At 37.6% G+C, this 16,204-nt stretch overlaps 1 protein-coding gene across 1 annotated transcript in view; it reads left to right on the forward strand.

Moving 5' to 3' along the window:
• CYP2C9 (cytochrome P450 family 2 subfamily C member 9) overlaps positions 1-16,204 on the forward strand; it is a 51,434-nt gene that overhangs the window by 22,300 nt on the left and 12,930 nt on the right. The window contains exon 6 of the mRNA NM_000771.4: positions 11,147-11,288. Within this exon, the coding sequence (NP_000762.2) occupies positions 11,147-11,288 (142 nt within the window). The remainder of the gene's footprint in view (positions 1-11,146; positions 11,289-16,204) is intronic.

The raw sequence follows: 16,204 nt of genomic DNA on the forward strand, positions 1-16,204 counted from the left end.
TCCCACTTTTATATGAGAACATGTGGTATTTGGATTTCTGTTGCTGCATTAATTCCCTCAAGATAATGGCTTCCAGCTACATCTATGTTGCTGCAAAGACATGATTTTTTTTAATGGCTGCATAGCATTTCATGGTGTATATACACCACATTTTGTTTATGTGACACATGATTGGTTGGTTCTATGTCTTTACTATTGTGAATAGTGCAGGAATGGACATACTAGCACGTGTCGTTTTGGTAGAACAATTTGTTTTCCTCTGGGTACATACTCAGTAGTGGAATTGCTGCATCGAATGGTAGTTCTGCTTTTAGTTCTTTGAGAAATCTCAAAACTGGTTTCCATAGTGGCTGAACTAACTTACATTCCCACCAGTAGTATATAAGTGTTCTGTTTTCTCTGCAGTCTCACCAACATCTGTTATTTTTTGGCTTTTTAATCATATCCATTTTGATTGGCATGAGATGATATCTCATTGTGGTTTTGATTTGCATTTCTCTGATGATTAGTGATGTTGAGTGTTTTCTCATATGCTTGTTGGCCATGTGTGTGTCTTCTTTGGAAGGACATATGTCCTTTGCCCACTTTTTAATGGGGTTACTTGTTTTTTAACTTGTTGAATTGTCTAACTTCCTTATAGATTCTCGCTATTGAAACATTGTTGGATTCACAGTTTGCAAATATTTTGTCCCATTCTGTAGGTTGTCTGTTTATTCTGTTGATAGTTTCTCTTGCTGTGCAGAAGCTCTTTAATTAGGTCCCACTTGTCAATATTCATTTTGGTTACAATTGCTTTTGAGGAGTTATTCATAAGTTCTTTGCTAAAGCCTGTATCCAGAATGTTATTTTATAGATATTTTTCCATCAGATTCTTATAGTTTGAGGTCTTAAATTTAGATCATTAATCCATTTCGAGTTAATTATTGTATATGGTTCAAGGAAGTGTTTCAGTTTCATTCTGCATATGGCTAGTCAGTTATCCTCATTCAATTTACTAAATAGAGAATTCTTTCCTCATTGATTATTTTTTGTCAACTTTGTTGAAGATCAGATGGCTATAGGTGTGTGGCTTTATTTCTGGCTTCTCTACTTCTGTTCAATTTGTGTTTTGTACCAGTTACATGCTCTCTTGGTTACTGTAGCTTACAGTATAGTTTGAAGTCAATGTGAAGCTTCCCACTGTTCTTTTTGTTTAGGATTGCTTTGGATTTGGGCTCTTCTTTGGTTCCATATGAATTTTAGAATAAAATAATATTGGTAGTTTGATAGGAATAGCATTGAATCTGTAGATAGCTTTGGGCAGTCTAGCCATTTTAATGATATTGATTGTTTCAATCCATAAGCCTGAACTGTTTTTCCATTTGTTTGTGTCATCTATGATTTTGTTCATCAGTATTTTGTAGCTCTCCTTGTAGAGACCTTTTTGCCCCCTTTGTTAGTTGTATTCCTAGGTTTTTTCTTGTGGCTATTGTAAATGGGATTGAGTTCTTGATTGGCTTTCAGGATGAACATTTTTGGTGTTTAAAAATGCTACAGATTTTTGCATATTTATTTTGTGTACTGAAATCTCACTGAAGTTGTATGTCAGTTCCAGGAGTTTTTGGAAAGTTCTTTAGGGTTTTCTAGGTCTGAATTGGGTCTTCTAGGTCTGAGATGGGTCTTCTACTTCTACTAGTAGGAGATGGGCCTTGCAATCTTGAAGACAGTAGAAGGATGGGTCTTATTTTTAATCCAACTTCCTACTCTTTGCCTTTTATGTGGAGCATTTAGACTTTATCTTCAATGTTAACACTGATATATGAGGTTTTGATTCTATTGTGAAGTTGTTAGCTGGTTGTTTTGTAGTTTCTATTGTGTGATTGCTTTATAGAGTCTGTGGGCTATATACTTAAGTGTGTTTTGTGGTAGCAGGTATTGTTCTTTCACTTCCATATTTAGAACTCCCTTAATGATCTCTTATAAGGCTGGTCTAATGGTAACAGATTTTCCTGGTAGTTACTTGTTTGGACAAGATTGTATTTCTTCCTTGATTTTGAAGCATAGTTTGGCAAAATATAAAATTCTTTTTTGTAATTTTTATTAAAATGAATGTTGAAAATAGGCTGAGCATCCTTTTAGCTTGACAAGGTTCTCTTTGTATGTGATCTGATTTTTTTCTCTAGCTGCCTTTAAAATTATTTTTTAGCCTTGACTTTGGACAGCCTGGTGAGTAAATGCCTTGGTGATGTTAATTTTGTATAGTGTCTCACATATATTCCCTGGGTTTATTGTATTTGGATGTCTACCTTTCTAGCAAGTTTGGGAAAATTTTCTCAACTTATTAGCCCAAATGTATTTTCTAGATTGTTTACTTTTTCTTCTCTCTCAGGAATGCCAATAATTCCTAGGTTTACTCCTTTTAAATAATCAGATATTTCTTGAAGACTGTTCATTTATTAAAATTATTTTTTCTTTATTTTTGTCTGACTTGGTTAGTTCAAAAGACTGGTGTTCAAGCTCTGAAATTGGTCCAGTCTATTGATAAACGCTTCAATTGAATTCTGAAATTCCTTAAGTGACTCTTTCAATTCCAGAAGCTTTGATTGATTTCTTTTTAAGATGTTTACTTCTCGCTCCATTTCCTGGACTGCTTTAGTAGTTTGTTTGCATTAATTTTCAACCCTGCCTTGGATCACTGAGCTTACTTGCAGTCCATATTTTGAATAGTTTATCTGTCATTTCTGAGTTGCCAGTTTGGTTAGGGTTCATTGCTGGGGAGTTCATGTGATCCTTTGGAGGTTTTACGACATTCAGACATTTCATGGTGCCAGAAGTCTTATGCTGGTTTCTTCTTATTTGGAGAGGCTGCCGCTTCTGATTTTTGAAATTATTTTTGTGCAGATAGAATTGTTTTTCTCTCCCTATTTTTGTTCTTTCCTTTTTCTCTTCCCCTTCCTATGGGATGTGACTATAAAGTATGTTGGGTAGGGCCTTTGACTTGGATTCTATAGCTGTGTTCACTTCTGTGGGTAGTTTTATATTGGCCTGTGCAGTTTGACATACATGTCAGTAGATGGCACTTATGAGCAAAAGCCAGCTGTGACTAGGACAACTTGATATAGCACAGCTTGATCCTTGTTTTCTGGGGGAACTTCTCTGTTTCCTCAGATAATCTGTTCATCTGTGGAATTCAGAGTAGTCTGGGCTCCCTGCTGAGCCCCAGGGGGATAAAGATCGGTGTCACTGGACTGGGCAGTCCTGTCTACAGGTCCCCTAATGGCAGGCACTAGCACCAGCACTGAGAGACAACTGATTTTTGCATTGATCTTGTACCCTGAAATTATGCTGAAATCATTTATTAGCTCTACTTATTTTCTATCTGTATTGCATGAGATTTTTCTATATAGAGAGAATCATGTTTCAGTCAAATACACATGATTTGAATTTTTCCTTTCCTATTTGAATGTGTTTTATTTTATTTCTTGCCTAATTGCTCTGGCTAGAACTTCCAATACTATGTTTAATAGTAGTAAAAATGGACATCCTTGTTTTTTTTCTTTTCTTTCTGATTTTAAGTTACAAGTTTTAGTCTTTCACAATTTAGTATGCTTTAGCTTTGCAGTTTTCATAAATATGCTTTATTATGATAAAGGAGTTTTATTTCATTTATAGTTTTCTGAGTGTTTTTGTTATGATGGGTATTAAAAGTTGTCAATTTTTTTTTCTGCATCTAATGAGATGAACATGATTTTCTCTTTTATTCTGATATGGTGTAGTGCACTGATTGACTTTCTTGTTGAACCACTTTTGAATTTCTGGGATAAATCTCACTTGCTTATTGTGAGATTTATTTTTATAATGTTTATTATTATAATTTTTTAATTTTGTAAAAAATTGTTGCAAAATACACATAACATAAAAGTTTCTGTATTAATCATTTTAAGTGCATAGTATTTTGGTATTAATTACATTCACATTGTTGTGCAAATGTCACTGCCATACATCTGTAGAATTCTTTTCATCTTGCAAAACAGAAACTTTATACCCATTTAATAATAACTCTTGGCCGGGCATTGTAGATCATGTCTGTAATCCCAGCACTTTGGGAGGTTGAGGTGGGCAGATTGGATGAGCTCAGGAGTTCGAGACTAGCCTGGGTAACATGGCAAAACCCTGTCTCTACCAACAAAGCAATCAACAAACAAAATGAAAGTAACATAATTTCCTCAACTGTGCAAACTAATTCATATTAATAATTCCATGAAATGTGTCCATAGTAACACAAGAGCAGAAGATGGGCCTTGTAAAGGTGGCCCACCACATTATTTGAGGTCTTTGTCAGTCTTATCTGCCAGATACTGTGTGGACTAACTGCAGTTAAAATTCCCATTCCCTTATCACTTGCCCTGAAATTTATCTGAAATCAAAGGGAATGGGTTGCCCAAAGAGAAGTGTCCAGAGACGTGGATGATGCGACAAGAAATGTTGTAGAACCACACCCCCACCTCAAATGATAACTCTACATTTCTCCCTTCCACCACCCCATGGCAACCAACATTCTACTTTGTGTCTCTATAAAATCGAGTATGCTGGGTACCTCATAAAAGTGGAATCATTACATATTTGCCTTTTGTGACTGGTTTATTTCACTTAGCCTAATGTTATGTTCTCAGGGTTCATTCATGTTTTTGCATGTGTCAGATTTTTCTTCCTTTCTAAGGGTGAATAATATTCCGTTGTATGTATAAACCAAGTTTGCTTACCCATTTATCTGTTGATGGGCACTTGGATTACTTTCACCTTTTGACTTTTTGAGTAATGCTATTATGAATATGGGTAAAAAAATATCTCTTTGATGTGCTGCTTTCAATTCTTTTGGGTATAAATAACCCAAAAGAATAACCCACCACGCCTGGTTAATTTTTTGTATCTTTAGTAGAAACTGAGTTTCACCATGTTGGCCAGGCTGGTCTCAAACTCCTGACCCTGTGATCCACCCACCTCAGCCTCCCAAAGTGCTGGAATTATAGGTGTGAGCCACGTCGCCCGGCCTACATTTATTGATTTGCATATGTTGAACCAGGCTTGCATCCCAGGGATGAAGCCAACTTGATCGTGGTGGATAAGCTTTTTGATGTGCTGCTGGATTCAGTTTACCAGTATTTTGTTGAGGATTTTCGCATGGATGTTCATCAGGGATATTGGCCTGAAATTTTCTTTTTTTTGTTTTATGTCTGCCAAGTTTTGGTATCAGGATGATTCTTCCCTTATAAAATGAGTTAGGAAAGAGTGCGTCTTTTTCTACTGTTTGGAGTAGTTTCAGAAGGAATGGTACCAGCTCCTCTTTGTACCTCTGGTAGAATTCGGCTGTGAATCCTTCAGGTCCTGGGCTTTTTTTTTGCTTGGTGAGCTATTCCTTGCTGCCTCAATTTCAGAACTTGTTATTGGTCTCTTCACGGATTCGACTTCTTCCTGGTTTGGTCTTGGGAGGGTGTGTCTAGGAATTTATCCATTTCTTCTAGATTTTCTAGTTTATTTGCATAGAGGTGTTTATAGTATTCTCTGATGGTAGTTTGTATTCCTGTAGGATCAGTGGTGATATCCCCTTTATCATTTTTTTGTTCTCTCTATTTGATTCTTCTTTCTTTTCTTCTTTATTAGTCTGGCTAGCAGCCTATTTTGTTAATCTTTTCAGAAAATTAGCTCCTGTATTCTTTGATATTTTGAAGGGATTTTCCTGTCTCTATCTCCTTCAATTCTGCTCTGATCTTAGTTATTTTTTGTCTTCTGCTAGGTTTTGAATTTGTTTGCTCTTGGTTTTCTAGTTCTTTTAAATGTGTTGTTAGGGTGTTGATTTTAGATCTTTCCTGCTTTCTCCTCTGGACATTTAGTGCTATAATTTTCCCTCTAAACACTGCTTTAGCTGTGTCTTAGAGATTCTGGTACACTGTGTCCTTGTTCTCATTGGTTTCAAAGAACATCTTTATTTTGCCTTCATTTTGTCATTTACCCAGTAGTCATTCAGAGCAGGTTGTTCAGTTTCCATGTAGTTGTGCAGTTTTGAGTGAGTTTCTTAATCCTGAGTTTTAATTTGATGGCACTGTGGTCTAATAGGTTGTTTGCTTTAATTTCTGTTCTTTTGTATTTGCTGATGGGTGTTTTACTTCCAATTATGTGGTCAATTTTAGAATAAGTGTGAAGTGGTGCTGAGAAGAATGCATATTCTGTTGATTTAGGGTGGAGAGTTCTTTAGATGTCTATTATGCCCGCTTGGTCCAGAGCTTAGTTCAAGTCCTGGAGATCCTAGTTAACCTTCTGTCTCATTGATCTGTCTAATATTGACAGTGGGGTGTTAAAGCCTCCATCTATTATTGTGTGGGAGCCTAAGCCTCTTTGTAGGTCTTTAAGAACTTGCTTTATGAATCTGGGTGCTCCTGTATTGGGTGTGTATCTATTTAGGATAGTTAGCTGTTCTCGTTGCATTGATCCCTTTAACATTATATGATACCACCCCTTTTTTTAATCTTTGTTGGTTTAAAGTGCGTTTTATCAGAGACTAGGATTGCAACCCCTGCTTTGTTTTGCTTTCCATTTGCTTGGTAAATATTCCTCCATCCCTTTATTTTGAGCCTATGTGTGTCTTTTCACGTGAGATGGGTCTCCTGAATACAGCACATTGATGGGTCTTGACTCTATCCAATTTGCCAGTCTGTGTCTTTTAATTGGGGCATTTAGCCTGTTTACATTTAAGGTTAATATTGTGTGTGGATTTAATCCTGCCATTATGATGCTAGCTGATTATTTTGCCTTTTAGTTGATGCAGTTTTTTTTATAGTGTTGACGGTCTTTACAAAATTTGGTATGTTTTTGCAGTGGCTGTTCCCAGTTGATCCTTTCCATATTTAGTGTTTCCTTCAGGAGCTCTTGTAAGGCAGGCTTGGTGATGACAAAATCCCCTTGTGGTGATGGGCTTCCCTTTGTGGTAACCCGACCTTTCTTTCTGGCTTCCCTTAACATTTTTCCTTTCTTTTAACCTTGGTGAATCTGACAATTATGTGTCTTGGGGTTGCCCTTCTTGAGGAGTATCATTGTGGGTGTTTTCTGTATTTCCTGAATTTGAATGTTGGTCTGTCTTGCTAGATTGTGGAAGTTCTCCTGGATAATATCCTGAAGAATGTTTTACAACTTGGTTCCATTCTCCCCATCACTTTCAGGTACACCAATCAAACGTAGATTTGGTCTTTTCACATAGCGCCACATTTCTTGGAGGCTATGTTCATTTCTTTTTATTCTTATTTTTTAACTTTTTTCTTCACATTTTATTTCATTAAGTTGACCTTGAATCTCTGATATCCTTTCTTCTGCTTTATCAATTTGGCTATTGATATTTATTTATGCTTCACAAAGTTCTCATTCTGTGTTCTTCAGCTCCATCAGGTCACTCATGTTCTTCTCTAGTTAGCAATTCGTCTAACATTTTTTCAAGGTTCTTAGCTTCTTTGCAATGGGTTAGAACATGCTCCTTTAGCTCAGTGGAGTTTGTTATTACACACCTTCTGAAGCCTACTTCTGTCAATTCATCAAATTCTTTCTCTGTCCAGTTTTGTCCCCTTGCTGGCAAGGAGTTGTGATTCTTTGGAGGAGAAGAGATGTTCTGGTTTTTTAAATTTTCAGCCTTTTTGTGCTGTTTTTTTTTTTCTCATATTTGTGGATTTATCTACCTCTTGTCTTTGATGTTGGTGACCTTTGAATGGGTTTTTTGCGTGGACATCCTTTTTGTTGATGTTGATGCTATTCCTTTCTGTTTGCTAGTTTTTTTCCTAACAGTGAGGCCCTTCTGCTGCAGGTCTGCTGGAGTTTGCTTGAGGTCCACTCCAAACCTTGTTTGACTGGGTATCACCAGAGGAGGCCACAGAACAGCAAAGATTGCTGTGTGTTTATTCCTCTGGAAGCTTCATCCTAGGGGGACACTTGCCAGATGCCAGCCAAAGCTCTTTTGTATGAGGTGTCTGTTGACCCCTGCTGGGAGGTCTGCTGTTCTCTTTAGAGCCAGCAGGCAGGAACATTTAAGTCTGCCGAAGCTGCACCCACTGCCACCCCTTCTTCCAGGTTCTCAGTACAGTGAGATGGGAGTTTTATCTATAAGCCCCTGACTGGGACTGTTGCCTGTCTTTCACAGATGCAACTGCTCAGAGAGTAGGAAACTAGAGGGGCAGTATGGCTACAGTGGCTTTGCGGAGCTGAAGTGGACTCCACCTAGTCCTAGCTTCCTGGAGGCTTTGTTTACACTGTGAGGGGAAAACCACCTACTCAAGCCTCAACAATGGCAGACTCCCCTCACCCCCCCACCCCCCCCAAGCTCGAACATCCCCAGTCAACTTCAGACTGCTGTGCTGGCAAACAGAAGTTCAAGCCAGTGGATCTTAGCTTGCTGGGCTCCATGGGGGTGAGATCCCCTGAGCTAGATCTCTTGGCTCCCTGGCTTCAGTCCTCTTTCCAGGGGACTGAATGGTTCTGACTTGCTGGTGTTACAGCACCACTGGGGCATAAAAAAACCCCTCCAGCTATCTTGGTGTCTGCCCAGATGACCACCCAGTTTTGTGCTTGAAACCCAGGGCCCTGGTGGTGTAGGCTCTGAAGGGAATCTTCTGGTCTGTGGGTTGTGAAGACCATGGAAAAACTGCAGTATTTGGGCCAGAGTGCACCGTTCTTCACAGCACATTCCCTCAAGGCTTTCCTTGGCTATGGGAGGGAGTTCACCAATCCCTTGGGCTTCCAAGGTGAGACAACATTCCTCCCTGCTTCAGTTTAGCCTCCATGCACTGCACCTACTGTCTAAACATTCCCAGTGAGATGAGCCAGGTACCTCAGTTGGAAATGTAGAAATCACCTACCTTCTTCATTGATCTCGCTGGGAGCTGCTGACTGGAGCTTTTCTTATTCAGTCATCTTGCCAGCCACCCTCCTGATTGAGTTTCTTTAAGGTAATTATTTTGAATTCCTTTTTTGAATATTTGTGGATTTTTTTTCATTGAGGTCTGTTATTTGAGAGTTATTATGTCCCTTTGGTGGTGCCATATTTCTTTATTTTTCATGTTGTGTCTCTGAATTTATGTCTATGCATGTGATGGAACAATTGCTATTCCAAAATCTCTAGAGTGAATTTCATAGAGAAAGACTTTTATCTGAAGTTGAGTGTTTGTGTGCAGGTGACGAAGAGTGGGTAACTCAGTTTTTGATAGATGCATTGTGATAGTATCTGTGTAGTTTCTCTAGCTATGGCCAATATCAGCAATAATTTTGGGTGCCTCAGTGGCCTAGGCTGTAGAAGTTTGCAGCAGTATCAGGAGCAGTGTAGGTTGTTAATGTCCTTAGTGTCAAAGTATTTGGGCGTCCTCCTATTTTTATTTTCCTAAAATTGGGGTGACTTAGCCTAAGGGATTCCTTTTGGTGTCATCTCTGACATGGCATTAACTCAGCGGCATTGGTGCTGGGTTACAAGTACAGATCCTTGAAGTTGTCATAGAAGCATCATTCTAGACTCAGGGTCTTTTAATCATGTATTGTGACACCTGGGTCTTGCGGTGCAGGTTCACTCTCTGTGGCAGTGTTGAATGCAGATTACCCACAGAACCAAGGTCTATGACTCTAGCACACCTTAGCAGCTGAAGCCCACAGACTGAGTTGTGGCTGTGAATCTGTTTCTGAGGGTGAGGTGCAGGAAAATGCCGTGGCCTGCCTCTGATGTAGAAGGGGTGCTCTTTAGATTTGAGCCCAGCAAGTAGAATATGGCTACTATCATTAATAAGATAGGATATACTACCTTATTAATGCTAAGTAACCAAGCTCAAGTCAAGAGATGGAAATGTTAATACTGGTTTGTGACTGCACTGTTCTTCTTACTTAAGAGTAATTTTCAACATGGCAAGCTTAGAAAACTGTGTGAAGCTGATGTTACCAAGGGAGAGGACTGTCTTTGTCTACACATGTTGAGAGAATCTAGTCTATTTCAGTGGTGTTGATTACACAATATTCAACATGACACACATCACTTGGAGACTCTAAAAGCATCATTAATTTATTGCTGCTGGCCTTGGGGCTGGTTAAAAAGTAATACGTTTTTTATATTGATGATCTCTTTCAACTAAGTATTCCTTATCCATTGCTTTCTTTCTCCCAACTTCCAAATTATGAGAACTCCAGTCTCTAAGCCTTGGCATATGCAGTATCCTTACTCTCTCCTTTATCCCCTGTGGCAATTAATCCCTTTATTCTCCATCTTCATCATTGTTCTTTCTCTTCACTTTGTATATTTTTGTTTATTCCTGCACTACTGCACCCTAGAACAAGTTGTCTGTTGCCTCCCATCTAGATTATAATAGTGTGGGCCCATCTTGTCATTGTAAACCCATTCTCTTCCTCTATAATTTATCTTAGGTTTTGCTGTCATATTGCTTTTTTAATATTTGTTTTTACAAAATTTCAACTTTATAATGAATCTGGGGGCAATATTGAGTCCATGTACCTTTCTGACAGAAAAATATAATTGCAGACTCTTGATTCAGGCTCACAGTGTCTAATGATATGGCCCCAATTTACGTTTTCTATTAATTTAGATTGTGGTTGTCTACAGGTAATAATGGCTTTAACACATAATGTCTTTATTTATCTCAAATACAGGGATTCTCTTGGTGGGGCAATCTAGGATAATACAGCAGCCCCAAAGCAGCAGAGAGTCAAGTGCCTTCCTTTTTCCCACTAAATTTAGTATACAGACCTTCATTTTGATGATTAAATCCCAGGATGGGGTCTACTCTACCTCCTACTTCACATTTGTGTTTTGAGTATGAAAGAGGAAATAGAGGAAATGGACCTAGAGACCTTCTGCTTATATATTTTAGCAAAAAAAAATATGCTGTGTGACTCAGCTAGCTGCAAAGAGCCTGATGAATGGAATTTTTAGGCAAGCATGGAATAAGGGAGTAGGAAATAAAGTTTGGGCAAGTTGGTCTACAGCCTCTGCTATACAAGCAGTATTTTTTTTCTAGTACTGTACTTTCCAGTTTCTATGTTGGTAACTATATAACTATGTGAATAATTTTGAATTCACTGTAATCAAATATGCTGGTAAATAATTTGTCAGATAATTGCATCAAATCATTCCTAGGAAAAGCACAACCAACCATCTGAATTTACTATTGAAAGCTTGGAAAACACTGCAGTTGACTTGTTTGGAGCTGGGACAGAGACGACAAGCACAACCCTGAGATATGCTCTCCTTCTCCTGCTGAAGCACCCAGAGGTCACAGGTATGATCAGAGATGATAAGTTAATTAATTTTCAGAAAAGATTTTGGGAAGGTGTTGCTAGTGTCCTCCTTCCTGTTTCTCTTAGAGAAGCTTCATTATTTAAACTTTTGTGCTTCCAGCTGTAATCTGTTTCAAACTAATGGTGATTACAATGGGATATCTTGGCCTGGCATGGTGGCTCACACCTGTAATCCCAGCACTTTGGGAGGCTGAGGTGGGTGGATCACTTGAGGCTAGGAGTTCAAGACCAGCCTGGCCAACATGGCCAAATCCCATCTGTAGTAAAAATACAAAACTTAGCCAGGCATGGTGGCACATGGCTGTAATCCCAGCTACTCGAGGGGCTGAGGCACTGGAATCAATTGAACCCAGGTGGTGGAGGTTGTAGTGAGCCAAGATTTTGCCACTATACTCCAGTCTGGGCAACAGAGTGAGACTCTGTCTCAGAAAGAAAAAAAAAGAAAAAAAGAAAAAGAAAAGATAAAAGGGGCATCTTTGCACAGTAGAGGAAGATAACTGAGAGAAATGAAGACAGCATGGCAGTAGCAAAAGCAGTAGAACTCTGGTCCAATGTGTCTGGATTTATGGCAGGAAGAGACAAGATAAATTGGCCTGGGATTGCATGTTGGTTTTATTATGAGAAGGCCATTTTAAATAGCAAGTATATTCTTCAAGATAACTTTTCTCATTCTCAAAATTTCAGGTTCGAATGCTGGAGTAGGGAAACTTGAAACTCTCCTTATTGAAGGATAAATGGTAATCCTAAAAATGTAGTGATCTGCCTGAGAAAATTCCTAGTCCAATAAGTACTCTAAAAAGTTAGATTCATAAGAAAGGTGATTCTGTTTACTAGAAGAGGTATATAAAGAATGTTCCATTTAGGCAGAATATGTACCTGAGACAGTTTCCATGAAACTGTTGTTGGGCAAAATAAGATTTTTTTGAGGAAGTCAATAATTTTATCTTTTATGAACAACTTTACTTTAGAAATTTACTTTTAAGGACTTTTGGTTATGCTGCAGATAAGAAATATTCTTTTTTTCTCCTATGTCAGTATCCCCCATTGAAATGACAATAACCTAATTATAAATAAGAATTAGGCTTTTTTTTGAACAGTTACTAGCCTATAGAGTTCTAGAAGATTTTTTGTCAAATTTTATTATAGATTAAAGGGTACAAATACAGGTTTGTTACATAGGTAAGTTGTGTAACACTGAGGCTTGGGGTCCCAGCTATTCCATCACACTGACAGTAAACATATTACCCAACAGATGGTTCTTCAGCCCACATCTCTTCTCTCCCTCCCCCATCTAGTGATCCTCAGTGTCTATTGTTCCCATCTTTATGTTCTTGTGTATTCAATGCTTACCTCCCACTTATAAGCAAGAACATGTGGTATTTGGTTTTCTGTTCTTGTATTAGATTGCTTAGGATAATGGCCTCCTGCTTCATCTATAATGCTGCAAAAGACATAACTTTTGTTCTTTCTTATGGCTGCATAACATTCCATTATGTATGTACTAGTCTGTTCTCATGCTGCTAATAAAGACATACCTGAGACAGGGTAACTCATAAAGGAAAGAGGTTTAATGGACTGTCAATTCCACACGGCTGGAAAGGCCTCACAATAAGTCTCTGATAGAGACTTATTCACTATCACAAGAATGGCATGGGAAAGTCAGGCCTCCATGATTAAATTACCTCACATTGAGTACCTCCCGTGACGTGTGGGAATTATGGGAGCTACAATTCAAGATGAGATTTTGGTGGGGACACAGCCTAACCATATCAGTGTATATTTGGTACATTTTCCTTATACAATCCACTGTCGATGGGCACATAAGTTGATTCCATTTCTTTGCTATCGTGAATAGCACTACATATTGGGGTGAACATATTGGGGTGTGTGTCTTATTGATAGAATGAATATTTTGGGGGCATATACTCCATAGTGGGATTGCTGGGTCAACTGGTAGTTCTATTTTAAGTTCTTTCAGAAATATCCAAACTGGTTTCCACAGTGGCTGAACTAGTTTGCATACCCACCAACAGTGTAAAAGCATTTCCATTTCTCTGCAACCTCACCAGCATCTGTTGTTTTTGGACTTTTTAATATTAATAATTGCTATTCTGACTGGTGTGAGATGGTACCTCATTGTGATTTTGATTTGCATTTCTCTGATGATTAGTGATGTTGAGCATTTTTTCATAAGTTTGTTGGCTGCTTGTATGTCATCTATTGAGAAGTGGCTGTTCATGTCTTTTGCCCAATTTTAATTGATTTTTTTTGTTTTTTTTTTTTGCTTGTTGATTTGTTTAAGTTTTTTATAGATTTTGTCTGTTGATACATATTTAGATTTTGGATATTAGACATTTAGGTCCTTTAAGGTAGGAAGAGTACAGGAAATAGTCAAGAAGACTTTAACAAATTTCTAAAAACAGAGAGCATATAGAGGAATGATATATCTGTACAGAGAGGGTAAACTTATAACCAAAAGGTCAGAAGAGAAAAATTTATCAAGGATGAAAAGTTAATCAGTGTCCCTTAAATCCTCCCAATATTGGTATTTGGAAGTACCGAGGGTCAAAGATGGTGGAGAATGAGGCTGAAAAAGGAGGCTCTCCCTGCCTACGTTTCCTCCACAACTCTTTTCATCAGGTAACTGATTTCCTTCCACAAGAAGAAGGAGGCTCACTCTCTAGAGAAACTGAGCTTAAGAAGCCCTGTACTCAGAGACACACAGCAGTGCCAGAAAAGGCATGAGGTGTAGGCTAGAAAGACAGATTAGGTACACATCCACTCCTTGAATTCAGAGACTCTTAGCTCTTTTATTCATCTTCCTTCCTAAAATTCAGCAGCTAGCTCTATCCTACAGAAAGGGAACTGATCTAGAGAAATGGCATTTTTCTTTTGCCATCTTAACAGACAATTCTCTTCAATGTCCAACAGAGTGAATGAAATGAAAACATATACTGCTAGATACAGGGTTATGGAATTTCAGGACATGAGAATTAAAGGGAAAATCACAAAAACTTTCAGAGCTGTACCAGGTTATATTGAAAGAATTAGAATTCAGAATTCTCAAGAAGAACTATTAATATTATCTTGTATATTAATAAAAATAGTGTTTTCAGATGTGCATGTTTGCCAAAAATTTTTACCATTTTCCCTTTCTCAGAAAAATACTGAAGAATGTTCTTCATTCAAATGCCTGAAACCTTGTTAGAGAAAGTCCTGAGCTCCAGCAATCAGGAAACCTCGTGTAGGAGAATGAGAGTGTCAGGGAGGCTGCCTAGCACCAGACCTAGAAAACAACTACTTCAGAACAGACCTGGGGGATAATTCAGAAGTGAGATGAGACAGCAAGAACAAAAGAGATGTGACAGATTTTATGAGAGTTTCCAATAACTAAAAAGGAGTTTCAAACATCTGCTGGAACATTTGTAAATAATTCTAACTTGGGAAATGGAAAATTACAAATTGAAATAAAGAGACATTGTTAAGCCCAGGAAAGTACAAAAATAAAATTTAATCATAGTTGTCTTACCAGAGAACCATATTTGTGTAGTCAGAATGATGTAAGCAATGAATACTGATATCATAAAAATTGTCATCTAAATATATTCTGGAAAAAGCAGTGTGGAAAAGTGAGTGTGTCTATCTGAGGGTGTGTTCAAATATGAGGGGAAGATGGAGATTAAAATTCTCATCTCTCTTAATAAAAAATTATTAAATATAATCTACAAAAAGATAAGTAAGAATTAGAAACAGAGTATTTAAAAATGTGAATGTATGTTCAGAAGAAGCTGCTAGAATGTTCAAAATGGTAGATTTGGAAAGTGTGAGAATGAAGAGAATACCATTGTGATTTGTGACCCCTCCCACACACAGATGCACCAATACAGTCATATATATGCATAAATCTGATAGTATAATTTAACGTTTAAGCAACATATGTTATTTTGATATGAAATTAATCTGTTTTTCAAAGACAGTAATTTCATGACTAAATTATATGCTTACTTTATGTTTTCAAACATTTTATTATTTTTATTTGTATTAATTATCATATATACTAATGTATATGTATATACATATCTTTTAATTTTTTTTAATTTTTATGGGTACAAAGTAGGTATATATCAATATGTTTGGGGGTACATGAGATGTTTTGATACAGGCATGCAATGTGAAATAAGCATGTCATGGAGAATGGGGTATCTATTCCCTCAAGCATTTATTCTTTGAGTTACAAACAATTCAATTACACTCTTTAAGTTATTTTAAAACGTACAATTAAGTTATTATTGACTATAGTCACCCTTTTGTGCTATCATATAGTAGATCTTATTCATCTCCACCTCCCCTCCCCCCACACTACCCTTTCGAGTCTCTGGTAACCATCTTTCTACACTTTATGTCCATTAGTTCAATTCTTTTATTTTTAGATCCCACAAATAAGTGAGAACATGCTATGTTCGTCTTTCTGTGCCTGGCTTATTTCACTTAACGTAATGATCTCCAGTTCCCTTCATGTTGTTGCAAATGACTGAATCTCATTCTTTTTATGGCTGAATAGAACTACATTGCGTATATGTACTACATTTTCTTTATACATTTGTCTGTTGATGCATATTTAGGTTGTTTCAAAGTCTTAGCTATTGTAAACAGTGCTGCAACAAACAAGAGTGCAGATACCTCTTCGATATACCTATTTCCTTTCTTTTGGGTATATACCAAGCAGTAGGGTTGTTGGATCATATGGTCGCTTTATTTTTAGGATTTTGAGGAACATTTAAACAGCTCTCCATAGAGGTCACACTAATTTGCATTCCCACCAACACTGTACGAGGGTCCACTTATCTCCACATCCTCACTAGCATTTGTTATTGCCTGTCTTTTGGATATAAGCCAT

Source organism: Homo sapiens, chromosome 10, assembly GCF_000001405.40.
Source record: "Homo sapiens chromosome 10, GRCh38.p14 Primary Assembly".
Lineage (NCBI taxonomy): Eukaryota > Metazoa > Chordata > Mammalia > Primates > Hominidae > Homo > Homo sapiens.